General features: G+C 40.2%; 1 protein-coding gene and 1 long non-coding RNA gene across 5 annotated transcripts in view; one reads left to right on the plus strand and one right to left on the minus strand.

Moving 5' to 3' along the window:
* SYNPR (synaptoporin) overlaps positions 1–26,567 on the plus strand; it is a 416,321-nt gene that overhangs the window by 268,726 nt on the left and 121,028 nt on the right. For all 4 annotated transcript variants that reach the window (XM_017005731.1, NM_001130003.2, XM_017005732.3 and 1 more), the window contains one exon: positions 11,503–11,627. In XM_017005731.1, coding sequence (XP_016861220.1) covers positions 11,503–11,627 — 125 coding nt within the window. The remainder of the gene's footprint in view (positions 1–11,502; positions 11,628–26,567) is intronic.
* SYNPR-AS1 (SYNPR antisense RNA 1) overlaps positions 1–26,567 on the minus strand; it is a 126,456-nt gene that overhangs the window by 45,734 nt on the left and 54,155 nt on the right. The gene's annotated exons all lie outside the window — the stretch shown is intronic.

The following is a 26,567-nucleotide window of genomic DNA, read 5'->3' on the forward strand; positions in this document are numbered from 1 at the left end:
ACAGAACAGTAGCTGTGTGCATGAGCTCATCATGCTCTAATTTTTCTATCAAGCAGAAGTATACAGTTAAGGTATCTATCATCACTGATTTTCTTCAATGCACTAAGATATGGTTATGGTAGGTTAGAAACTTCAGGAAGTCCATATCACAAATTTACCCAAGAAAAATACCAAGTTCAAAAACACTACCATAGGCAAGAAATTAATTCAGAAGACTCTCTCTAATCAGGTGTCAGAGAAATGGTGTCAGCTCTGCTGAATTTTTATTTTATCTTATTATTCCATTTTGACAAATATGAGAGAATTGGAGTTGATTCCTTTAAAGGTAATTATTCCTATTCAACCCGATGGAAGTTGCCCTTTTTAATCAACGAATGATTGATGCTATACTTTAGCCATATGTTCTGATGGTGTATTTTGAAATATTTTTACCCTGATTCTAAAGAGAGATGTTGCCAAAATATTTTATTAAATAAGCAGGTCAAAAATGTTCTTCCACTTTATAGTCTCTGTAAATATAATAAATTTGAAAGTACTATTGAAGATAATTCCAAAGGGAGTGGATTTCTTTAACTTTACATTTTTCATCCAAACGAAAGTGAAAACAGCACATCCATCTAATGACAGTTCTGAATTTACTTTTCTCAAGTTACCCAGATGTTGTCTACATTTATGATTTTAAGAAAATCAGTTTTTAGTTACAAAAGTTATACATGCTTATTGGAAGACATTGCAATAATGCAAAAATAACTAAAACCGAGATTCTGACTCTAACTTCTACTCCTTAGTGGTTACAACTAATAACACTTCAGCATTATGTTTCTAGACCTCTTAAATTTCTGTAAAAAAGTATATACTGTATGTATATGTAGAAATATTTTCTTTTACAAAAATGCAATACATGTATTTACTTTTTTTGCTTTAAAAAGATTATAAACAACTTCCAACTTTTCTGTACTGCTACTCATTCTTTTTAACCCTTGCATAATATTGATTGGATACCTCATAATTTAATTACTCTATTTTTTTATAGGAATGAAAATCACTTCCAAATTGTTATTACCATTTCTGCCATGTGTTGTTTTATTTTAAAGATTTGTATCAGGCTTCATGTGGAAAAATATAATTCAAGCAGAAATTTAAATTTCAATTGATAGGCAAGAGTTCAATTTAGCTCATTGCATAAAGGCACAGGGCTGTCTAGGAAGTATCTAGTGAAAAAGAAATGACTGGATCTTGCATGGGCTTGACAATGCTGTGTTTCCTTTATAATATGACTTGGAAGCTTGTTTTATTTCTGCCAGCTTTCTCTCATCAGTTTCTGTGTCAGACAGTGGAGGCTAACTGACTCAACAATCATCCCAACCCTCTTCCTCTTGCCCACCTCCCCTATAAGACTCAGGAAAGCTGAAGATTCACTTCCTAGTCTCCTATGCAGTGAAAGGTGTTCAGGAACACAGCAGCCATTTTGTGACAATGAGGCAAAGACTGTAAGAATCAAAGAAATGACCCAGACATCATCAATACCAGTAGTCACCTAGCTCTAGACTTCCTGATATGTGTGAAAAACAAACCCCTATTTGTTTAAGGCCCCGTAGGTCAGACTTTCTGTTATCTACAGCCAAATATTCTGCCATGTGGTGCAGTCCCCAGACTAGTCATTTCAGAAAATGAAAACAGAAACTTCTTTTGCCATGTAAGTAACTTGGAGTTTTCCTTCTGTAGGGCCTATTCTGAATTCCCCAGTTGATGGCATGAAGTATCAATTCTGTAAGGCTGCTTTTGCCTGAGAAGATTTCACACAAATCACAAAGCAGTTAGAAGGGCACGGTATTCAATTTTTGACAGGTAGCATGAAATGGAATGCAGGATGGACCACATTGGGGCCATTTAAGAGCACAGGTAGTTATATATTGTAGACAGGAAAACACACATAGCTCTGTGGAGGAAAGCCTTTTAACAATACTTCTCAGTGCCTCCAAATAAAAGACAATTGCATGTCTTCCAGGGACAACTTGCAGTTTTTATCTTCACATGAAGTTCCCATCTGAGGTTTTACAAGGTTATTCACAAAAGCCTTCTGGGTCAAAGTATTATACACCCATAGCAGTAACCATAAACTGATGGCTGAGAAAATGACTGGTCAATTTCCTTAGAAAAATACGATTATCAGTAGGAGAAGAAAAACTAAAAGAAAGAATTAGACAAAGATCAGTAGGAATGGAACATTAAGCTTTAGAGGCATTCATCTGTCTACTGGGGGCCTCCTGTATAGGGAGTGGAGCATGAGGGAGGCCGCAGTTAACAAAACCTTTCTGCGCTGGAAAATATCCTGACAGTACATATTCCTCGCTTTTTTATGGCTACTATTGAGGTAATCAGCTTTGTTCCCAGAAATGCCCTTTGGGGGTGTTGAGGACTAATCATCAGTTCAAGACAAATCATGAAAGGAGATGGGACAAGAGGGGGACATCAAAGCAGGGAGGAGGGGGAGGCTCTGGGCCTCTTTAACCTATGAGCTGTTGAATTGTGAAGCTGCATGAAAGTGAGGAACCTGGCACCCTTAGCTGTGGGTGGCTGACAATTAGGAGGAGGAACTTGTCAAGTGTAATTGGCATAACCTACTCACATCAGGCTTTTCAAATATTCCTATCATGCCAGACTAACTCCCTCCCCACGGCAGCCTGCGATGCTGCGGAGTGGAGGCTTGGGTGTTGCTGAGGCACAGTACGTGAGCTACCACCTGCAGCAATGGGGACGATCAGGGCTTTGTCTTACAGATGCTTCATGTAGCCCTCATCTGACTTTCTGAACATTGATGTGACAGAGAAGGCCTCAGTTAGAAAGCCCATCTTCAATATTTCTGTATGAGTCTTTCCACAGTGTGCTCCATCAGAGAGAGACCCTTTTCACACTCCTGGGCGAGTTGGGAAGAAGGAAGACACTTTAGAGAAAGGCAGACCTGACTGCTTCACTTAGGAGTAGATCATGTGACCTTGGACTTGCTGTTTAACCTCTGTTTCCTCATCTGTAAAATGAGGGGTTATATTTCTACTTTAGGATGTTGTTGAGAGGATTAAATAAGCCAATGTAATGATGGACTTACTGAGGAGACTGACACAGAAAACTAAATATAATTATTTTATTATTACTATCATCATCATCATTACAATGTTACTATTCAGTTACACAGTGCTAAAATGCCCCTTTTCAAGCACTTCATCCTTCTATTGCCCATTCCTTCATATATTTGCTTACTCAATAAAATTTGTGAGCCACCGACAATGTTTTGGCCCAAATGGGGAATACAAAGATGCTGAAGCATGGTCCTGTTGGCAAAGGATTTGCCTATTGTCTGGGGAAGTAAGACACTTCCTTATCTTCCACCTTCCGCCAATCCACTTACCAGTGTAATCAGTGTGGCCTTTCTAAACTGCAATTTTTTTAATGCCTCTCCCTTGCTGAAAACCTATTCTGCTTGCAAGACCCACGTGTCTTCACATTGACAAACTATTTCTGTAAGAGTCAGATAGTAAATATGTTTGGCTTTGCAGACCACAGGCTGTCTGTTATAAGTGCTCAACTTTGTCATCAGAGCATGAAAGCATCCATAAATAGATGAAGAGATGAGGCTGGATATGGCCACGGGCTGTCGTTTTTGGATCCCTGGTAGCCCATACCTGACATATTTCTGCCTGCCTCTTAAACTGAGTAACTCTCTTCTTTTTCTCTTACAACATATGCAGACTTACCAAATGCACAGCCCAAATGTGCCACACTTGCTCATTTGTGTGTCTTTGACTTACTCCTCTCTGCCTAAAACACCCTTCTCCCTCTTACCTGGATAACTCAGGCCCATTTTCCTGGTTTCTGCTTAGCTATCCATTCCTCCAGACAGCTATGTCCCCCTTCCCTCCCCTGCAATTATATACCACATATTCCCCTAACGTGCTCCAATTTCTGCCACCACAGTAAAGCACCATTGCAGTGCCTGTTCATTAGCTTGTCTGTGTCTTGAAATAGACAGCAAGTTCCCTGGAGGTAGGGGAAGGATATTGATTGATTGATTGATTGATTGATTGTATTTCTTTTTAGTTCAACAAGCATTTAGGGAGCACCAACTTCATGCCAAGCACTGTGCAAGGTGGTAGAGATTCAGCAATAAACAAAAACAAGTGTATTGCCTTTTCTTAGGGAAGTGGTAAAACAAAGCATAAGCAAAGGATTAAATAATACCAAACACATACCTATATTTAAAAGTCTGCTCGTGTTAAAAAATAGAATAATGGGAGCCGAGGTGGGTGTGTACTAAAATGAGGAAGCCTAGTTAGTGTAGTCAAAGATTTCCTCCTTAAAAAAGAAAAGAAAGGATGAGAAGAAACCCTTCGTGCAAACCATGTGAGGACAGAAGTTTCAGCTGAAGGAGACAGACAGCATGAAGGTCCTACAGCTGGAGGGAGCTCAGTTTATTTGGAGACAGCCAGAGAGACTAGAATGCGGTAAGCTAGAAGCTGAGATCAGGTGGTTAGGGAAATATGACTCCTTTGTTATCATAGTCCTGGGTACTTGTAGTGCCTGCAAAGTAAAATGTGCCCACTCAGTTACTGTTTGATAACTGTCTTAGTCATGTTTCCCAAAAGGAGATTCTGAGACGAGAATTTTGGTTCAATAAGTTTATTTGGGGAGCAATGATGGGAAGCACAATGACAAGTGGGCGGTGGGATGGGGAAGGAAGGAAAGCCAGCCAACGATGTGTGGTGAGCAGGTTGCTTCTGTGGGAAACTGGGGCTCGGTCTCAATGAGCACCCTCTGAACACACCTCAAAATTGTCCCCCAAAAGGGCAAGAACATTGGAGATTTTACCCACCAATTTCCTTCTCACACTGTTTGAAAGCTGCCAGGGAATTAGCTCCTGGGGACGTCTACCTTGCTCCAGTCTCAGGCCAAGCACACGTATGCTAGCTGTGAATGCCCTCGGCAGAGAAATTCAGGTATGTGAGGAAGGAAGTCTTTGGTGTGTATGAGGACTGACCCCATGAAGCTGCAGCTATCAGCAGGGCATCAACAGCCTCTGCTATAATAACTAACTAAATAAGTGAGTAAGTAATTGAGTGGATGAATGAGTGAATGAATGATTATACCTAATGGAAAAGGAGTGAATCAACAAAACAAGCCCAAAGTGAATGAAGGTCCCTGGCCCAAGTGAGTACCTTGGTGGCAATGGAGTTGTGTAGATCTCCTCCTGGTCCAAATTTAGAGGCAGTATGTTCATAGCTTGGAATTGGCCATGGTGGAAATACTTGCACTGTGGAAACTGGCAAATGCTATAAAACACAGCTTTATTCCTGGGAGATTTGTTTGTTGGCAAACTCAACTTAGTGGTACCAACCACTTGGTCTCAGTCTCCAAACTGAGTGGTACCAACTACTTGGTTTCAATCTCCCAACCCCTTACCTACCAGTCTCCTGACTCTTGTTTCTTCCAGGATTGGTACATGAAGGTTGTGTACCAGGCCTTGGGAGATGTCCCCTCCCTGACTTCACTGCAGACCAAGCATCCCTACAAGTGCCATTAATCAGCCTGATTTTCTGTCCTCCTCCAACCTATTGCATTTAACTATGACTTGCAAATTAACCAGAAGGATTAATATCACCTTTCATTGATATTCCGTGTGTGGTTCTATTAGCACACAAGGATTGAGCTGCTTGCCCTTTTCCCAGGGGAAAACCTTTGATGTCACTAACTGCAAAGATATCGTTACTGCTATGGGTGATTTTGGTTTATGGATGACTATTAAGCTAGAAAACACAGGACAATTTTGTTCTGTTCCACCTAAATGCATTTCTAATCAGGCTGCATAGAAGGGGATTCTCTGTTGGCTGATCCTGTCAATTTTGAGAGTAATTTTTTGTAAGGAACAGAGCCGTAGATCATCTAAGACAGTAGTGAAATGAGAGTTCATTGCAGGTGATTTATTTTGGTCTCCTGAACTCAAGGGAGGTGAATGATTGGGCCAGTGGTTATGATATTGATTATATTAGAATGTGCTGGAGGGTGAGGTGTCTGCTTTGTTTGAGGAGTATCAGGAGCTTAAGAAAAGATGGGAATACAGAGGTTTTATAATTCTACTTGAATGGGTAAATGGACTTTTGCCCCTGGGTTACACCTTCAATGTCTGGTAAGGTGAGCTAGTGCACCACATTAACAGAAAGAAGGCACTGTGCTGGCTGAAGATAGATGTGTGGAGCCTAGAATTTGAAGAGCATAGCGCGCACACACACCACCATGTCTTTACATCTCTCATCAACTTGCTTATAGTATTACAGAGTCATCCTCAAATGGAGATCTGTCTCTCTAGTTCCTCTATCTCACTTATTTCTACACCAACCCCCTCACACTGTCCCCTCAGGCTTTTCTCACTCCTTAGCCTTCCAGGTCTCACCCCCAGTTTTCATTCCATCCTGGCTATATAACAGAAAGTTATTCTATCTTTTCTGTCTCTCCAAAGGGGAAATTGTCTACATTAGGAATTGCACTTAGTTTTGCAGAACTGAGCATCTGCAAGACAAACCTTCTCAGCTGCTAGCATTAATGGCCTCTCGAGCATCAGTGGTCAAGCAAGGAATACCATGTCTCTTTATGTCTTCCAAGGTCCTCCTTCTAAATTCTTCCACCCCACCAAGCGTAAAAAGTGGAAGAAAGGTAGGGAGGAAGAAAGAGAAGGAGAGAGAGAGGAAGGAAGGAAGAATAGAGGAAGGGAGGGAGGGAGGAAGGGAGGGGGGAGGAAGGAAGGAAGGAAGGAAGGAAGGAAGGAAGGAAGGGAGGGAGGGAGGGAGGGAGGGAGGGAAGGAAGGGAAGGGAGGGAAGCAAGGGAAGGAAGGAAGGAGGGAAGGGAAGGGAAGGAAGGAAGGAAAGGAGGGAGAGAAGAAGGAAGGAAGGAAGGGAGGGAGGGAAGGAAGGGAAGGGAGGGAAGGAAGGGAAGGGAGGGAAGCAAGGGAAGGAAGGGAAGGAAGGAAGGAGGGAAGGGAAGGGAAGGAAGGAAGGAAAGGAGGGAGAGAAGAAGGAAGGAAGGGAGGGAGGGAGAGAAGAAGGAAGGAAAGAAAGATAAAAAGGACAAATCACCTACTCTGCTTTGGTAATGAGCTTCCAGATAATGTGATTTTGAGACACTCAGGAGAAACATGGAGAACCTCAGGTCATCAAAGCACCCATGGTGCATTTCTGGGTGAAGAAGACTGGACCATTTGAGAATCAACTCTTACCGATGTGGCAAAAAAACATCATTCTTCCCCCAACCATAGAGCTAATTAGAATCCTAACTTGGGAAGTCTAGAGACCCAGGATCCTACTTTCAACTCTCATTTTTTGCGGGGCTTCCCCTCACTCATCTTCCAGGTGTTAGCTTAAATGTAACACCCCCCCAGGTATAACCTCCTGTCCAGAATAACTCCCCTCAAAACGTGAAACACAATTTGAGATTATTTTATTTGTATGTGCTTTTTGATTGTGTCTCCCATATCTAGCATTAAGCCCCATGGTGGGTGGGAAACTTCCTTATCCTTGTCTTTTCTGTGACTATTTAATTTTTCTGTTCCCCAACAGCTGGCACATAGCAAATCTGTCATTAAACATCCAATGATTGAAGCATGTTAGTCTTGATTTGGTAGATGTGGGAACTGAGGTTTAGAGAAGTGAAGTGATTTGCCCGGTGTCACACAGCTAGGAAATGGGCTCAAGCTTAGGTCTGCCTCACCCCAGAACTGCTCTGCTCCCCCATGTAAGGAGGAATGGTTGGGCGAGTAACTGGGAGGGGAATCAGTGGGAAGATTTCTGAAGTCCCCTCCCACTCTTTCAAGGCAACACCTAGAGAATCTCAGGCCCCTGGAGAGCCTCCAGTCCCCTCTCCTCACTGTGTCTTGATGTATTCCAATTACGGGACCAGGCCACTGGCAGATTTTCTCTGGAGGAGTTGATTTCACGCTCCAAAATACAGAAGGATCTGACTCTTCCAGTGTTATACAGACATCGTATGTTCAATCCTCACCAAACCCATGTGAATTTAATATCAATCATATAGTATGATTTCCCTTTAAGCAGTTGTCATGCTCAGGGTCAGGTTCCTGCCCCAGCTGAGGGCAGAGGGGAGTGGGTGGATGTGAGGCAGGGAGCTAGAAGAACACTTGAGAGATAGCAGGTAAATGAGACATGGCTTTATTCAGCAGCTCTCTCATCAGCAGCTTACTCACACCTTTATCTCGGCTGCCTGCTCTGGCTCTTCAGCTCGTCTAAGCAGCTGGCTCCCATGCACAGCTGCATGGCCAGCCTGCAAGGCCAGCTCTAGGGTTAGCAGCTTAACTCTATTTCTGGGCACGAGCAAGCCGAGCCACGTGCTGGCTCCCCACTGTCCATCTGCTAGATATTCATTCTCCCTTACAGGGATCAGTAGCTTCACTTTTTCTCTGGGTGCCTGCACCTGCACAAGAGCCATGTTGGGCCCAAGAGCATGTCAGCAGGGAAGTTACACCTTTTCCAGACAATAGCGGCTTTGAGCCAAGTATGAGCTTACACAAATAGGGTATATAACTAGTGGAGTATGCGCCTGCACTCTAAACTTGCTAAGTCATGCAGGCCTGGATGTCTGCCTCAGCCTGTTCGTTGATCAAAGTACATCCATGTACCTTACAGCAGTGAGGACTATGGGGAAGGGAGAAATGTAACCTGGAAGCCCATAGGTATCATATTTAACTCAATTACAATGCCTTGTGTTTTCAGAGGTCAAGAGAAGTAAAAAGAAAAAATTGTGGTGTATGTGGTTTCAATAGTCATGACACCTCCTTTCCACGTATCTAACATTTTGAACTAGTTAAATACATAACTATCATTCCTTCTTAAGTTTATTATATGATGGTATTAATAATACCTTACTGTATATAAAGCACTTAATATAAGATGAAAAGCCAAGGTAGTTTCTTTATAGCTGTTGAGCACTGAAATGGACAAGATTTGTTTTTATATCCTTCAATTCCAATTTGTTACATTTTAACGTCTCAAGGATTTTTTTGAATGAAGCATTTTGAAACAATTATGTTATTCTACCATATCTTTCCTATAGGAATATTAAGCTTCACGCACACATGCCTCACAATATTGTTGCCACTAGGAAATATGACCATGTATGTTACATGCTGGACACAATGCTTGGCCCATAGTAGGCACTTTAAAATGGTCACAATGTACAATCCCTTCTTACTTTTATGTGCACAATTGCCTATCACACACTTATGACTCCTGCCCCCAGAGAAATGTAAATATCACACAAATCTCTGCATGAATTGGAAGAGGGTAGCATGTAAATACATATTCCGTCTCACTTAGTTTTCTCAGCGATTCAGAGAGACATAGGGGTTATCCCTGTTTTACAGATGAGGAAACTTGGAGACAGAAAGGGCTAGCTCCATTGCCACGGCATGGGGCTTTCGACTCCATCATTCCATTCTTTCTTACCAAAGACACTATCTTGACGTGGCCCAAAGGGTTGGGACATCCAGTGTTGGCTGATGAAAACTAGAATTAAGCATTGAACCATTAAAATCACCTTCTCTTTATTTCTATTAATACTACTAATACTAATTGCTTACAGGAAGAGAGCATTTGGTCATGAGGAGTAAGCAAGTCCACACCAGGGGCCTAAAGATGGGGTTCCCTTCAGCTTCAGCATTCTGTGTCTCAACCCTAGATTGTGGAGCGACCTAGAATAGCTTCTGAATGCTTCATCAAATCCTGTGCAACGAAAGCTAACAAAGTTAAAAAGATCAGTTTTTCTGGACTGCTTGGATGTTGGCTCACTGGGGCAGACAGCCAGACAGATTTGGCTAGGGATTAAGCCTAAATTTCCTATTTTATGGCCTGGAACATCTTATTAAGGAGCATCTGCTATTTACAGTAATATTCGTTAACATTGATTGAGAGCTTACGCAGTGCCAGGACCTGTTCTAAATTCTTTCCACATATTAACACATTTTACTCTTACTACAATCCTTATATCTTTTGGTCAAGTTCTTTCCATTTTAAAAATACAGATTTTAAAAACTAGTCACTTAAAACTGCCACACACATGCACACACACATACACACACACACACGTGACTCACAAAATATTGCTTTGCCTGTGAAGGTTTCACAATGCCTTGTTATCGTCAGCCAGTCTTTTTCTATTAAAGATAAATGGCCAATTGAGACAAAACAATTCTGAGGCTTTTTTTCTACCCTTGATTAAGATTGAGGTGGCAGGAGTTATAGATAATATTCATTTCACCTTCTGAACTTTCTGGAAAGACCTGGTGATCTTGCCAGCTCCAGCAGCCTTCTTGTCCACAGCAACTGTCTGTGTCACACCGCAAATAGCAAAATGACCCAGAAGAGTTAACATCAATGCTATTTTTCAGTGAGGAAATCAAGACATGAGGAAATTAAGCAGCTTTCCCAAGGTCACATTCCAGAGCCCTTGACCCCAGTTGACTTCTGTGCAATAACTCCTCTCACTATGCAAAATGAGCTGGTGTTTCCAGTAGTGACCCCAAACTATTGTAAGAAGCTGAATTCCAAAGTTAAGATAAATTGGAATACTGCAGCATGTTAGTGTTAGGTGCATTTGATCGACTTCCTTTAGAAATGACCAAGAAATTCTTTTGAGCTTAGCCAAATTATGAAATGAACAAAGTTTAGCATTTGCTTATGTCCCCTCTTAGGCCATCCTGTCTTCCAAGTGTCTCTTCTTTCTAGGAGACCTCTCAGAGTCCCTGCTCCTAATTATTGGTGCCTGGTTCCCCACAGATTCACATTCTACACCAGGATAGACCATGACATTAACTGTTGAAACTTTTAATAGTTGACTTAGAAACAGCAACCAACACAGAGATGTAACCACCAGTGAAAGTTGGAAGCTGAAATATACTGAGATCTTGTGCTCTAAAATAGCACCTCTTAGAAACTCACCTACTCTTCCTCAAACTCAGCTCTAGAATTCTCCGACCATGACTTTGAAATATTGATGTATATTATTCCAAAAGACAAATCATATTATGGTAGAAAATAAAGACAAACAAAGAGAAGAAAGCAAGGATACACCCCCACATCTTCCTACCTGGAGACATCCATTATTAACTAGTTGGTGTAGTGCTATCCAGGCCTTTGACTATGGGATTATGCCTCTCCCCTCTGAGACACGACAGCTCTTTACACACTCAAACACAGCTATTTTGGCTTTGTCTTTAATTATTCTCCAAGCCACATTTCTTTCACTTGCCAGACAATTATTTTAGACACCATGTCCCCAGTCCTCACTCCATTCTACCTTCATCTTCCAGCTGAACCAAGGGCAATGCTCTTCTTCAGAAGGACCATAAATTCCCTCAATCCAGACATTAAGCTCCTTTTGATATATCTCATTAGAGCAACATCATCCTAATAACTGCCTTCTATTTGTTTAATTGTTCTCCACAGCTTTTTGCAATCTTTGCATTTGCAACATGCGGTGGCTATTCTGGAGGCCTGCGGCTGAGTGTGGACTGCGTCAACAAGACAGAAAGTAACCTCAGCATCGACATAGCGTTTGCCTACCCATTCAGGTAGGGAATGGTGGTTCATGCTTGTTAGCCTCACAGGGGGTTATTTCTTTCTTCTGTGCTTTGTCTCAGAAAAAATGCAGTCTTCCAGGGACTTCTGGGTAAACAGAAAGTATTCTGCCTGCACCCACGGAATGCCCAAACACAGTGCCCACTCACCACCTAGTGTGGGCACTGGGAGGATTTATGAGTTGTGCCTTCAAGACAGAACTGACTCTCCTCAAAAAAAAAGAAAAAATACTTGCTACAAAGAGAAGGAGGGAGGGAAAAAGAAAGGGAGATTGGAGAAGTAATTTTAAAATACGATCAAATAAATTCAAGAAATATTTTTAGCACTGTGCCTTTCTAATGCACATTTTGAAATCAACAAGAATGACAGATTGTTTCCCAAATACATTTGACTGTAGAAACTTCTTCTTCACTGAGTATCCAAGAGGATCTGTATACTATGGAACACATCCTTAATATTTATATATTAAGTGTATATATATATATATATGTGTGTGTGTGTGTGTGTGTATACATATAAAGTGAACTGTTCCTAGTCTAAGACAAAGATGACTCAGTTCATAGGTGATGAATCATCATAGAGACGTAGCATTGATACCAATATTCTTAATAGTTTTTAAGAGTAGAGCTGACAAAAGTTGCAAATACCTTGCTCAAGTAGATACTCTCCTAACTAACTAATAAAAGAGTAGAAAGCTCAGAAATATTAAGCACGTAATCCCTGAAAATTTAGTACAAAGTGCTGTGCTGTGCTGGTGGAAGTGGACGTGCAAGTGCATGACTTCTGAAAGCTCTGGACCAACCCATTGGCTTCTGGAGGAGAGTGGCCAAGCCAACGCATGCTTTCAGATTAACATGCAGGATCTAGGACAGGAGATGAAAACTGCCAATGGCCGGGCAGCGGGGCTGGGATGCTTGGTAACATTATACATGAGATCATAAGCTCGGCATGGCTTCTACAGTGATTTCCCACTAAGAGATGTGGCAGGAGCAGGTAACTTAAAAGTCAATCTCTCAAGATTTAAAAGTCAGCAAGTCTCTAAACATTGAACTACCAGAGCCCAGGACTCTCAGTCTTTTCCTCAAACTGGAGGAGAGTAATCAAGAGACCTATCTGAACTGGAAGAGTGCCTGAGCTGGTGTGGCGGTGGAGAGCAGGGTAATATCTAATTTCATAAAATCCCTGCTTAAGGATACAATGTGAGAAGACACTTCAAGCACAGTTTCCTGCACTGGGCTTCTTTAATTTCTTCCCAAGACTACAAATTCAAATGATTGGCCCAGTGAAAGGCAACTAGAGAAATTAGATCAAAATGTATTGCCATCTATAGCAGCCCCCTCATTTAAAAGATTTTTACCTGGGTTCTGAAACAAATATAGTTAATCATTATATTTTTTAGTAGCACAGCTTTTCTTTCTAACATTATCTCACTCAGAAGCTCCATGTATAAAATAGACATGAGTCACTGAGAAAGTTGGAGCAGGAGAAGAAGGGAGCTTAATGCCACCAGCCAGTCCTCCTCAACCTTCTCCCTGCCACACACCTTGCCCACTCCCCACCGTACAGCCCCTGTAAGATCTCCTGGGAACCCTAGGTCTCCTAGAAACAATTTTAAAACCACTGTTCTAGGATTTAGCAAGAAATCGTTTGCCACTTTGCTTACCACATCTTACATTTACTGTCTACTGTTAAGGAAGCAGTATTAGCCAATCTCCTTTTACAGAATGTCTTGTACTTTTGCCCCCATTAATGTTCATCTAGGAGATATACACACCATTCCAAAACAGCTTAATTTACTAGGGTTGCAATTTCAATTTTACATTTGTATATTTTAACATGTACCATTATCCATGTACATATTCATAACCTGTACCATTATGGGGAAAATCTCAGTAATAAGCCAGGATTTATACAGACTATTATGAAGACATTTGTTTCAGAAGAAGTACGGTTAGCAAGATGCTGGTAATATAAATAATTAAAAAGTAAAAAGTGATAATATCCACTATTATAAAGGGTGGAGAGAAATGTAGATTCTCACATGTGGTTGGAAATAATGTATATTGATAAAGCCTTTTTGGAGGACAACTGGAAGTAGGTATCAAGATTTAAATGTACATTCTATTTAATCCAGCAATACCATTTCTAGATATCTACCTTCAAAAATGTTCATATAAATACACAAATATATGCATGTAATGCATGTAATATGCATGTAATGATGTGCACTGCAGTGTTGTTAATAATAAAAGACTGAAACAAACCTGAATGTCCATCAGCAGGAAGCAGGCTCAGTGAATGATTTACATATGTCCTAGGCAGAAGTTTTAAAAGTGAATGTACAGATATAGAAAGATGTTTAAAATGTATTACTAAAGAGAAAGTAAGTAGCAGCATGTTAAGAAAAAATATAATAGTAAATGCACAATATAATTTTAAATTTATGCACCTATATGTATGTGTGTGTATGTGTATGTATATGTGTGTAAAATATAAATTCTGGAAGGATACAGACAAACAGTTAACAGGGATTACTTTTGGGGAAGGATGTGTCATTGGTTTGCAGAGGTCATACATTTACTTTTAACTCTACATACTTGAGTATTATTTGAATTTATTAAAATACACATATGATACCTTGGTAATTTTAAAAACGCTCTTTAAAAATGAGTCATCCTATGGCTTCCAGTGAGATGAAATGATAAGACACAGCTTCTGGAGAGAAATAACTTACAGGAACCCCATCTGAAATTCCAAATGGATTGAAGTAGGTGAAAAAAATCTGTATTTTCAAGGTGAATGGCAAGAAGCAGCTGTTGAGACAACTCAGCAATTTGAAGTAGGAGATTATAAAAGCATTGCTTATGCTTAAAAAAGTTATTTTCTTCTAAAATGTCACAAGCCAATGCCAATGATTTGATGATAATCTTAGAAATAAGGTAAGAACATTCAGTAGCTTTTAACTATTCAGTGTATTGCAAAGAGCAAAAGGACAATAAACTCAAGTCATTTGAACAAAAACAATTAGTTTGTAAATGATACATCAAAGGAAGCTACTTAACCAGTTATCAGACACATATTTTAGGATGTAAGATAATGTCAGTGTTAAAAATTCTAGATAACTCACAAAGTAATAATGTGCTTCTTCTAATAAATATGCCGAAGTGCATATCTCCTTTACAGCACCATATGTATGTGTTCCTGATTCCTATCAGAAATAATTGACATGCAGCAATGTATCATATTGTTATAGAAATAAACCATTTGTCACCTTATTTTCCTTATTATTTGTGATTACAATGAACAACTATTACTTAACTGTTTTCTCATCTGCAATAATATACTAAATTTGGTATGAAATTTACTTGATAACTAGGAGGAGAGTAGTTCTAGATTCCATATTTTTGGTACTTCCTTTATGCATAGAAGTGGAAAGTAGGGTTTCTCATTTTAAGGTATTTAATATATTTGTAGAAAGCCTACTCTAGGAATGCCAAGTAACCTTTTGAACTTATACATGAATAAAAGATAGAGAAGGGCAGAGTTCAGAGGTTAGGGGGCTATAGGAACAAAAATTTTCATGGCAAAGGCAATGGAGAAGGGTCAGAATGATGAATGAATGAACAGACCTGCAAACACTTATTGCAAGGGTACAATGTGCCAAACACTGTGCTAGATACCTTGACATATATTAGATTATGTAGTCATTACACAGATTCTGTGAAGGAGGCTACTATTTTACTGATTGAGAAGATTGGGCTGAGAAAAATTTTGTTGACATCACACAGAAATTAAATTTAAACTTTTGGATTTTTAAAATTTTGTGATTTGAATAAAAACAAGAAGAAAGCAAAGTTCAGACTGTTTGGAGCATGGTGAATACAACGAAAATTTATCAAGGACAAAAGTGATAAAGTTAGAAAGGCCACTTTTTTCCCTGATTATAGAAGACCTTGAATTCCTTATAAGTTGAATAGGAAGAAGGAGTTAAAGATGACAAAAGGAAAATAACAGGGAAATCTATTTTGAAGTAGAGAGTACAAGTTAGGATTTGATCATGCAGAGTTTGAGATGCTTGTTAGAAGCACAGGGGAATTCTCTATCAGGGAGTTTCATGTTAAACCCTATATAAGATGAGAGAGGTGAAGACTGAAAATGAAGCTTTAAGAGTCATCATCATGAAGTCACATCTGGATGAAGAGAGGTCACCAAGAGAGACAGAATGGGAACTATGGAGGATGCCTGTTCTTGTAAAAAAATGAATGAAAGGGGTCACTGAAAGACACCAAAAGGAGAAGACCAAATGGAAAAGAAGTTGGATGACCCAGAAAGTTCAGGTTTTTCAGAAGGTAAGAAAACTTTCTGCACATGTATCCCAGAATTTAAAGTAAAATAAATAAAAACAGAAATAAAATAAAATATAAAAAAGAAAACTTTATGTATGCTACCATTCAGCAGCATTGAGTACCTCAAAGAAAGAAAGGAGTGAAAAACCAAGAAAAAGCCATCGAATATAGTTAATGGTGGTTATTAAAAGCTTTCATGGGACATTTCAGTTGGAGAGAAAGTGTGTCGAGCTGTGGGGGAATGGAAAATAGAATTCAGTATATTTTCTCACAGACCAATACAATGCAAATTTTGAAGGACCCTAATTTGCTTATCTTAAGTCTTCAAAATATGATATTTGTGAAGAAAGAGACTAAGTTTGTTAATGACCTTCTAATAGAGAAGGTGCTCACCTCTTGTTTTTTGGAAGTAACCAGCTCATTGAATGACATGATGATAAATTTACGACCTTGGTTGAACAAATAACTAATAAAAAAGATTTTCAGTTTGTAAAAATCTTCCTTCATTTGAGAACAACTAAATATAGGGAACAACAGAAGATTTACAATAAAAAATAAAGTAGTTGCTATGTCACTTCCATGTCTTGAGACCTCATCAAGATAAAATTATTGTTTGCTGTCAATTTTAAGCATTATTTTACATATGAGATTAGTAATCACTGTTCTAGATAATTAACAAAATTGTCCTTCATAAATTTTGTTTATTCTCATGCCTCAGCTTTCTGAGTAGCTGAGATTACAGATGTGCACCACCATGCCTGGCTAATTTTTGTATTTTTAGTAGAGACAGGGTTTCACCATGTTGGCCAGGCTTATCTCAAACTCCTGACCTCAAGTGATCCACCTACCTTGGCCCCCAAAAGTGCTGGAATTACAGGTGTGGGCCACCATGCCTAGCCACAAGTCCCTATGACTGTTAAAGGGCTTTCTCTCACCGCTGGAACCTGTTTGGTCTATAGGCAGAGCAGGCAAGAAATGCTGGGGAGTAATGTCTCCTGGAGCAGCCCTTACCCAATGACAAATGTGAGTTGGAGGATGACAATCCCAACTTTCTCACCCCTCATGTGGCATAACACTAAGTCATGTATTATACCATTTCCCAGAGGCACCAGCAGGACAGAATCACCCACAGTGCAAACCGGAACATTAACACACCTTTCATTATCTTTTTTACCTTTTCTGTCTCACTTCTCCACTGCCTTATTGATGTTTTCAGAGCTGAATCCTCTAAGGAGTTGCACTCAAATCTTGATCTCAGGGGCTGCCTCTGAGAAGTCCAACCTAAGACACTGGCATTGTGTGAGAACATTACCATCTTTAAAGAAGATAGATAGATGAGTAGATAGATTGATCAACTGCTTGATTGATCAATCGATAGAGTAAATCCCTACTTCTTCTCACTCTAAATCATATTATATAGTATTACTCATTCAAAAACAGACAAACAAACAAATAGCTTGGTTGGAAATCAGTTACTTCAGTTCACAATACTTCCCCTGGTGGTTTTCAGTTCAGGTCTTATACAAAGAATCTTAGTATATATGGGAGGTTTTTCCCAGTTGGCAGTCATAGTAGGGTGTCCTTCAATGTCAGCTTCAGATTTTCTGAAAATGAGATGATGGCTGAGATTTTGGAGGTGCTGCATGGGGCCTCTGAAATGAAATCTGGTTAGACATAGTTTGTATTTTAGATCAGCCCATCCCAAATATATTCTCCAAATTTGGTGATAAACCTTACAACCTTTCTCCTCGAAGGTTTGGGTAAACTACAAAAACTAGTTATATTTATAAAGATTATGTCATAACCACTGCGTCAAAATGTTAACATACTTATTTCTAGGTGGCAAGATTATGAGTCAATCAAATATTCTTTTCACACTTGTGCAAACTTTTTTACACGGTTAAAGCTGAAGCAATGTAGTGTAGCTTGGACTCTAGAGACAGACTACATAGATTCAAATCTTCCACTCAGCTACTTATTAGCTGTATGATATTGAGAAAATTGCTTATCACTTCTGTTTCTTATCTGTGAAACAGAAACAATGTTACCTATTTCATAGTATTGTTATAAATATTAAATAAGACATAAATATAAATAATGCTTAAAACAAGACCTGACATTCAATACATTGTCTTTTGGCTACTATTTTTATTTCATTATCAAGTAAGGGCAATTAAAAATCAACTAGAGTGCTAGAAAAGATATTTATTCTGGTTAATTAGCAAAATTACCCTTGAGAAAACAAATGGCCAGTTTGTTATATTTTACCCAGAATGGGATCTTCCCCAACCCTGCCTCTGCCTATATAAAAACATTAAAGGGTGCACATATTTAACTGTCTCTTGATTAACGTGCTTTTAACTATTTAATGTTTATTTAGGTTGCCCTAGGATGTATTAAGACTTTTTAAAAAAATTTAACTAATGGGAGAATGAAAGCTCCCCCTCAAAGTGACAGAATGGAGAACTCTTAGTGGCACTAGCATAATCCTTGGGAGGTTGGCATCGGTGGAGTAGGAGACTGAGGCTTAGTCTGATCTTTGTAATCTGTGAAATTCAATTCAACGAGAGGTTCCACATTGAAGGAAAGGAAAGCCAGTGCTGCTCAGCTGGGCACTGGCTGAATAAGCACCATTCCCCCGCTCATGACTCTAGCCACTTGCTCTGTCGTTCCCCCACCCCTGTTTGGAACACGGGGGCAGGTGCAAGTAGATGCCAGGAAAGCTGTGGAGTTTGGGCCATTATCTAGTAACGCTAGCTCTGCCAGGCAGAAAGAATTTTGTCCCTAAGATGCGTAGCCAAGAGCAGTGATGAGAAACATTTTTTATTTTTTCGGTTTTTACCATAATAGCCAATTTGGGGAAAATAAAAGTGTGAAGGGCTGCAATTTTTTATATCTTGTGTTCAGGAAATGCTGCACTTGCAATTACATTTAAGTATTCATTTATTGTTTCTCATTACCAAAGGGTTTCACTCTTTTTGCCTAAAATTTCAGAAACTTTATAACTACAGTATCTCATTCTAATGTTTTGCCTTAAAATAAATTTTGTGTATGATGAGACCTGATGGTGTTATGGGGCAGAGACTTTGGGAGACTTAGAGGTGGTGTGGCCAAAGGGATAATGGTGAATCTCTAGCCAAATCCAAACTCTGCTGCCTAGTGGATGGGCAAGACATAACCCCCTAACTGGTAGTGAATTGTGCAGTGGAAGCACGCTGGGCCCATAACCTTATTGGGCCTCAGCTTCCTTATTATAAAAAGGCAGTAATACCAGTACCTTCCTTATAGTGTGGTTGCAACCATTCAATTAGATAATATGAGTTAGTCGTGTAGTACAGAGTCTGGCACACATTGAATATTCCCTGAGTTGCTATCATTGTTGTTGTTGTTATTATTAAGGAAGTCTAGTGAAAGAAATTGGCACCAGAATTCAGCTGTAGACCAAGTATGACAGTCCTGTTTGGAAGTTTCTGCAGTAAAGAGAGGAGCTATCATTTGTAGGGAATGTCTTGGGGATCACAGAAAATGATCCAAATATGTGCCATGGCTGCTGGCATGAAAAGGGTTAAATGAAAAAAGTTAGTGAATGACAAATTAGTCTACCCCATCTCCACCCCACTGTTCCCCTCTCAATCTGTATAATTGCAAGATTGGAAAACTTTTGTTGCAACACTTCCCCAAAAGGAGAGTGGTGATGGTGAATTGGGTAGAATGGATATTTTAGTTTGAGTTTCTGCAAAAGCACATATTGAGACCAGGATTTGAGTGCAAGTAGTTTTCTTGGAAGACGATCCTGGAAGCACCGGTGAGGAATGGGGACATGAGACAGGGAAGGGAAGAAAGCCAAAAAGAAGTAGATTAATTGGCAAGATACCACCATTGGCAACTGGGGCACCTAAGATTTTTAGGAAACTGTGGGCGACATGCTCCAACAGTAAATCCATCCGGCAAGTGTTCAGGCTGGATAATTATACCCCCAATCCAATTGGTCACTGGCCAAAAGCTGCTCCTGGGGGTGTTAATTCCCTGGGACTGCATGCAGACCTAGCATGTGCCTACAGCTGAAGAAAGTCTTCTTGCAAATTAATGAATGCTGACATTAGAAAGCCATCATTGTATACAGAAATGGTGAGAACAAGAGAGATACGGGTGGGCAACCAACAGCTTCTAATACAATAAGGAGACCCTTCAATCATTTTTCCTAGATCTGTGAATGACCCCATTCTGTATAATTTAATTATTCTTATTAATTTTTTATTAAGCACCTGCAGTGTATAAGGCTCTGAATTATATAGGCACTTGGTATGTATTTGTTGGTGAAGTAGACACGACTGCTTCCCTCACAAAATTTACAATTAGTTGGAGACGGGAGAAAGACAAAGAAGTGAGAAATATAAATAAATACATATATATGCATATATGCATGTACATATTTTTACAGTTGTAATTTCTATGAAGAAAATGAATATTGTGCAGAGAAGTAAAATAAGAATTAGTGGGAGTGGAGAGGATCAAATAATACATACTCAGAATGAACATCGCTTAGAATGTTCTAAGCAAAGAGAAAAGCATGGGCATGGCCTTTAGAGAGAAAAGACTGGAATCTGGGGGAATAAAGAGAGGCTCCTAAGTGGAGCGGGGAGTGACATGAGACACCAAAGAGGCAGGGATGCAATCCCAGTAGGTATCAGGTAATGGTAAAAGTCTTGAGAGGAAATTAGGAAGGTTAAGGGATAAAGAGAGAAGCTGTACTATTTTAGATCAGCTGGTTGGGGGAAAACCTTGCTGGTGAAATGAAATTTGAGTGCAGACCTGAAAGAATTAGGAGAGGGAGAGCCTCAAAGATGTCTGAGGGGTATATTCCAGGGAGAGCAAAGGACAAGAGCAGAGGCCTGAAATCTGAGATTGGGGAGAGTCTGAGAACCAGCAAAGAAACCAGTTTTGCTGGATTGGAATGAGGAAGAGGAGAGCTGCAGGAGATGAAGCTGAAAAAGGAGGCAGAGGCTGGATCCTGTAGGGTGCTGTGGGTTCATAGGAGGAAACTGGATTTGATGTTGAGTGAAATGGGAAGGCATTGGAAAGGAGCCATACAATTTGTTTGTAAAAGATCTTGCTTGTGGCTAATGAAAGTAAATTCACTTAAGGGGTGAAGTCAAGAAGGTCAGTAAGGAGGTGGCTGCAGCCGTCCAAGGAAAAGATGGTGGTGGGTTGGCCCAGGGTGGAGGCAGCAGAGAGGGAAGGCATGGTATATAGCATGCCATGCGTGGTCTTCCATGCCCCACTTCCAATGGTGCATCTATAGTCCAGTCCTGTTCATTAGTTTTTCCATCACTTTTCTCAGTGATGTTGAGTAGTGTTGGACAGTCTAGGGACCAACTTTAATATTTTAAGTTTCTTGTTCCTGATTTTGGTTCATGGGCACCCCTTGGACCCACTAGGTTTTTTGTTTTTTGGGTTGTTTTGTTTTGTTTGAGATGGAGTCTCACTCTGTTACCCAGGCTGGAGAGCAGTGGTGCAATCTCAGCTCACTGCAACCTCTGCCTCCCTAGTTAAAGTGATTCTCCATGCCTCAGCCTCCCAAGTAGCTGAGATTACAGGCAGCCACCATCACACTAAGCTAATTTTTGTATTTTTAGTAGAGATGGGGTTTCACCATGTTGGCAAGGCTGGTCTTGAACTCCTGACCTCAGGTGATCTGCCCACCTCAGCCTTCCAAAGTGAGGGGGTTACAGGTGGAGCCACTAGATTTCCATCACCGTGTCAGCAGTCAAAACACAAGAAGACAACCAGCGGATTTGACTTGAATGATGAATCTACACAATTCCATTGAGATGTGTTTGGGAACATATTTCTGAAGACCAGAAAGCAATAAGAAATTTATGAAGTAGATAATAATCCCACTACATGGAATATGATTTTAAACAAGTCATTGCCCAAATCGGTAGGGGTCCATTCAGGAAACAAGAGCTCATGCCAGGTGGTTCAATTACAAAAAGTTAATGTAGACAATTAGCTACACAGGGTTTGGATGATTTGGAAAGGGTCCTTAAGGCAATCTGAAGACGAGCAAGGGAGGGAAGACACCCCTAAGGGTAGAGCAAGGATTGACAAAGAAAATCTGTTGAGTAGAACTGGCTGGCCCCCTACCTGTTTGTATATGGCCCACAGGTGAAGAATGGCTTTTACACTTTTAAAGGTTTATGTGTATATGCATATATATAATTTTTTTTTGAGACAGTCTTGCTCTGTCACCCAGGCTGGAGGGCAATGGTGCAATCTGGACTTACTGCAATCTCCACCTCCTGGGTTCAAGTGATTCTCGTGCCTCAGCCTCCCGAGTAGTTGGGAGTACAGGCACACACCACCATGCCCGGCTAATTTTTGTATTTTTACTAGAGACGTGGTTTCACCATGTTGGCCATGCTGTTCTCGAACTCCTGATCTCAAGTGATCTGCCTCCCTCGGCCTCCCGAAGTACTGGGATTACAGGCATGAACCACCATGCCCGGCCTAAATGTGTATGATTTAAATGCTACATAAGTACTTACAAAATACTATCCTCAATTTTGCCTTTTGACTCATAAAGCCTAAAGTGTTTACTCTCTTGCCCTTTTTTGTTTTTTTCAAAAATGTATTGACTCCTAGGCAAGAGGCACGATAAGAGGAAGTGGTCTTGTTAGAGCCCAAGGTGGAACCTGTCTATCAGAAGCTGAGAATATGGTGAGAGGAGGCGTCTAGTGAGTTCAGGAACCAAGGAAGAGATGCAGCTACTATGAAAGATGTTCACCAAAGCAACAAGAGAAAGGAGTGAAATCCCCTAGATTTTCCCTTGCTCTAACCCTCCAGTCTCCCACCAGAGCTTCCTAATGGCTGAATGTAACTGGAAGCCAGTTGGACAGGATCAGGCCCCTGACTGAGATCCAGAGCACAGGAGGAGTAGGGCATGGGATCAGAACAACCAGATGATGACTACCACAGAAACCCTTGCTGAACCTCAGTTTCCTACAAAATGAGAAAGCTGGATTTAAGGCTTCCTAAGAGAGAGTTAGACCTCTAATTCTACGAAAATACAGAGGAACAGTAGAACTTGACCTTGGCCAGGAACCTGGTAGTGCCCCAGCCACTGCTGCTCCAGGGAGAACAGAGGGAAATGTAAAGACTCAAAGCATTAATTTATATAAGACTCTTTGAACCTCGTAGGGCTTGCTCTGAAGCTTGTTCTATTTAGGTAAGATCTGAACAGTCTTTTAAAGACCAGGATTGGGGCACTTACTGAAAATGATTGTAGGTTATGTAATCAAGGCTGTTGTTTCTGTTGAGCTCCCATAGGGAAGTGACAAGCGGCAGAGATTAAATCATTGTATGCTGAGTGGGCCTTTTATGTAGTTCTCAGTCTCACTGTGTGTAATTTTACAGAGCAGGCATGGGGGAGTGTGGTGGGAAGAACCTCATTACCAGGGAGAAGCTTTACACCCTAGAAGAACACAAACATTACTGTTTTCAAAGTTATAAAAATAAGTTCTAGTTTTTTCCTTACATCTGTTTTCTTTCCTAGAATAGGAAAGAGAAATAGAGAGACTGACTTTGAGTTGCCTAGAAAAGGACAAAAAAATCCAGCTGTAGTGACAGCCTCGGAATGGCAGAAGGAAACAGCCCACTCTTATCTGTATGTTATGTCATGTGCCTTGAAAATGTGTGGTGCCTGCACCATGGTCCCATTAACCACCCTCTCTGCTTCCTTCTATTCCTGAAAGAAAGAAATGTTAGGACATGCTTTGCGTCCCCTCAAGCAGGTGGCTGGAAGTCCCACGGTATACCTTATGGGGTCAAGCTGGTGTCAACTGAGTGGTGGAGACCTGTGTTCCCTCTCCTTCCCCAACCCCAGCCCATCCCCAATAGAATGGCATTTTGTGAGCCATGAGAGGACTTAGATTCTCCAGGGCTGAGAGGTTCAAACAGAGAGGATTGGCAAGTATTCAAACTGACTCGCTAGTCAGATACTCTGGCAGCCAGAGCCGAGACATGAAACCATCAGGGCTTGGAGTGTCATGAAGTGACAACTGGAAAACCAGGATTCACATTCTTAATTCCCCTTCCAGTATCCCACTGTGGGAATTCAGAGACCCTGGATGTGATCAGAACTTTAGACTCTCTCAATGATAGGTTGAAAGCTCCCCTACCTGCATGGTAACGTGTAGAAAGCTCATTTAAAATGGAGATTCCAGCCAGGCACGGTACACTGCTTGCTGTAATCCAAGCACTTTGGGAGGCAGAAGCAGGTGGATCACTTGAGGTCAGGATTTCAAGACTAGCCTGGCCAACATGGTGAAACCTCATCTCTACTGAAAATACAAAAATTAGCCAGGCATGGTGGCGCACACCTGTAGTCCCAGCTACTTGGGAGGCTGAGGCAGGAGAATCACTTGAACCCAGAAGGCGGAGGTTGCAGTGAGCCAAGATCACACCACTGCACTCCAGCCTGGGTAACAGTGCAAGACTCTGTCTCAAAAAAAAAAAAAAAAAAAAAATGGAGATTCCAAGACCCTACCCCAGAGACACATTTAATCAGTATCTGGGTGAAGCCCAAGGATTGGCATCTTAAATAATCCCCAAGTAAGCCTTAGACTTGTGGAAATTGGAGAACTGCTGACCTAAAAAGAATCAGACAGAGCTTTGATTTCCAATAGACTGATATGTTGTGTTTTAACATTGATTGATTTTTTTTTTAAATTTGGGATTACACTTTGATTTCAGCAAACAATTACCTTATTTATTATACTTAACACAATAAAAAATTTTTAGGTACCATAAAAAACAAATGGATGTTTTTATTTTTTGTTATTTTCAAATTTTCTATTATGACATACATTACTCTTAGAAAGAAAAACAAAAAACTTGAAAAGAAAGCAAATGGTAATTTAAATGTGGTAGTAATAGGTGAACAGTAGCACTTTCACACCCCCGCCAACAATGTGCTTTTGAGCATGTCCCCTTAAAAAAGGCTGAAGTGCTAGTTGCCTTCTCCACCTCAGCCAAATACAAATGAAGGTAGAGATCAAAAAGTAGGGTGGATATGTTAATTCTTATATATATATATATATATATATACGTATATATATATATACGTATATATATATACACATATATATACATATATACACATATATACATATATATACATATATATACATATATACATATATACATATATACATATATATATATGGCAAAGATCATCATCATCATCGTTGTCATCGATATCATTATTATCATCAAAAAAGGCCACTATTGATAAGTTTACCATATACCAGGACAGTGGAAATCACATAACACATATTATACCCATCAGCGCTAACAACACCTCTATGAGATAGCTACTCTAAACTCCACTTGACAGGTGAGCAAACTATGGCTCACTGAGATTGAATGCCTTGCCCTAGGTCACATAGCTAGTAAGTGGCAAGGCCATACTTAGAATGTCTGGATCTGACTCACATCAAAGACCATGCCCTTCACCACCATACTGTAAAGAGCAGCAATGATGCCCTTGAGTTGACAAGTCCCCACAATTGCAGAGACTTCCTCCTCATTCCTACATTTATAGCCTATTCCTCATACCAGCCAAACCAGGAAGGTCAAGAGGAATTTAGCAAATGGTTCTCAGAGATATTGTTTTCCTTGGGACTCAGAATCACTGGCATTAATTTTCCAGTTGATTTCCTGAGTCCAGGAATAAACTGTGAAGGAAGAACAACTCTAGGCTGGAACTGAAATGATTGTTCTTTTTCCTTTTTGCAGCTGGCTAGAATTTGAAATAAATAAGTTGTTGCTGACACAGTTTGTAGAATTTCTCATTTTTCATTTTGAAAGATTCTTTGCCAAACTAGCAGCTGTCACTTAGAGACTGTTAAGGAGTCACACAAATGACAGGGTTTTCTAAGAATAAAGCTATTCCAAAGGGTTTAATGCTATAGCTGATTCTCCTTTCCCTGACAAGGGGTGGATTGTGGAGGGAAGAAGGAGATGAGCTGAGGGGTCCCAGATACTAATCAAAAAACCTGAACATCTTTGATTGCAATGAAGGATCTTTAGTTATCATCTCTTTAGGCTTAATGCTGTGATATAAGAAGTAAGTGTAAAGTGCAGAGAATCACTTTTCCTAAGTACAGAGCTGGGGCTTCTTCCAAGGTATGCTTGATTACCTTTTGGCATCTTTAGAAATTAGCTATGAATTATGCTCAACAATCTCTGTACACGTGTTTTATTTTAGTACATGCACCAGGGGGTTCACTTTCCACTATTCTTCCACCGTCTTGCATTCTGTTGTTTAAGTTAAATTTTCTGTTGTTTATAACCACATTTTAAAATATCCTTTTTTATTAGAAAAAGTAGCACTTTTTTTGGTTTTTTTCTGTTCTAAAATCCTTTTAGCAAAACTATGGAGACAGTAAAAAGATCAGTGGTGGCCAAAGGTTGAGGGAGATGTGGGGTGTGGAAGGAATGAATAATTGGAGCACAGGATTTTTTTAAGGCAGTGAAACTACTCTGTATAATACTATAATGATGGATACATGTCCTTATAAATTT

This window comes from Homo sapiens, chromosome 3 (assembly GCF_000001405.40).
Source record: "Homo sapiens chromosome 3, GRCh38.p14 Primary Assembly".
In the NCBI taxonomy this organism is placed as follows: Eukaryota; Metazoa; Chordata; class Mammalia; order Primates; family Hominidae; genus Homo; species Homo sapiens.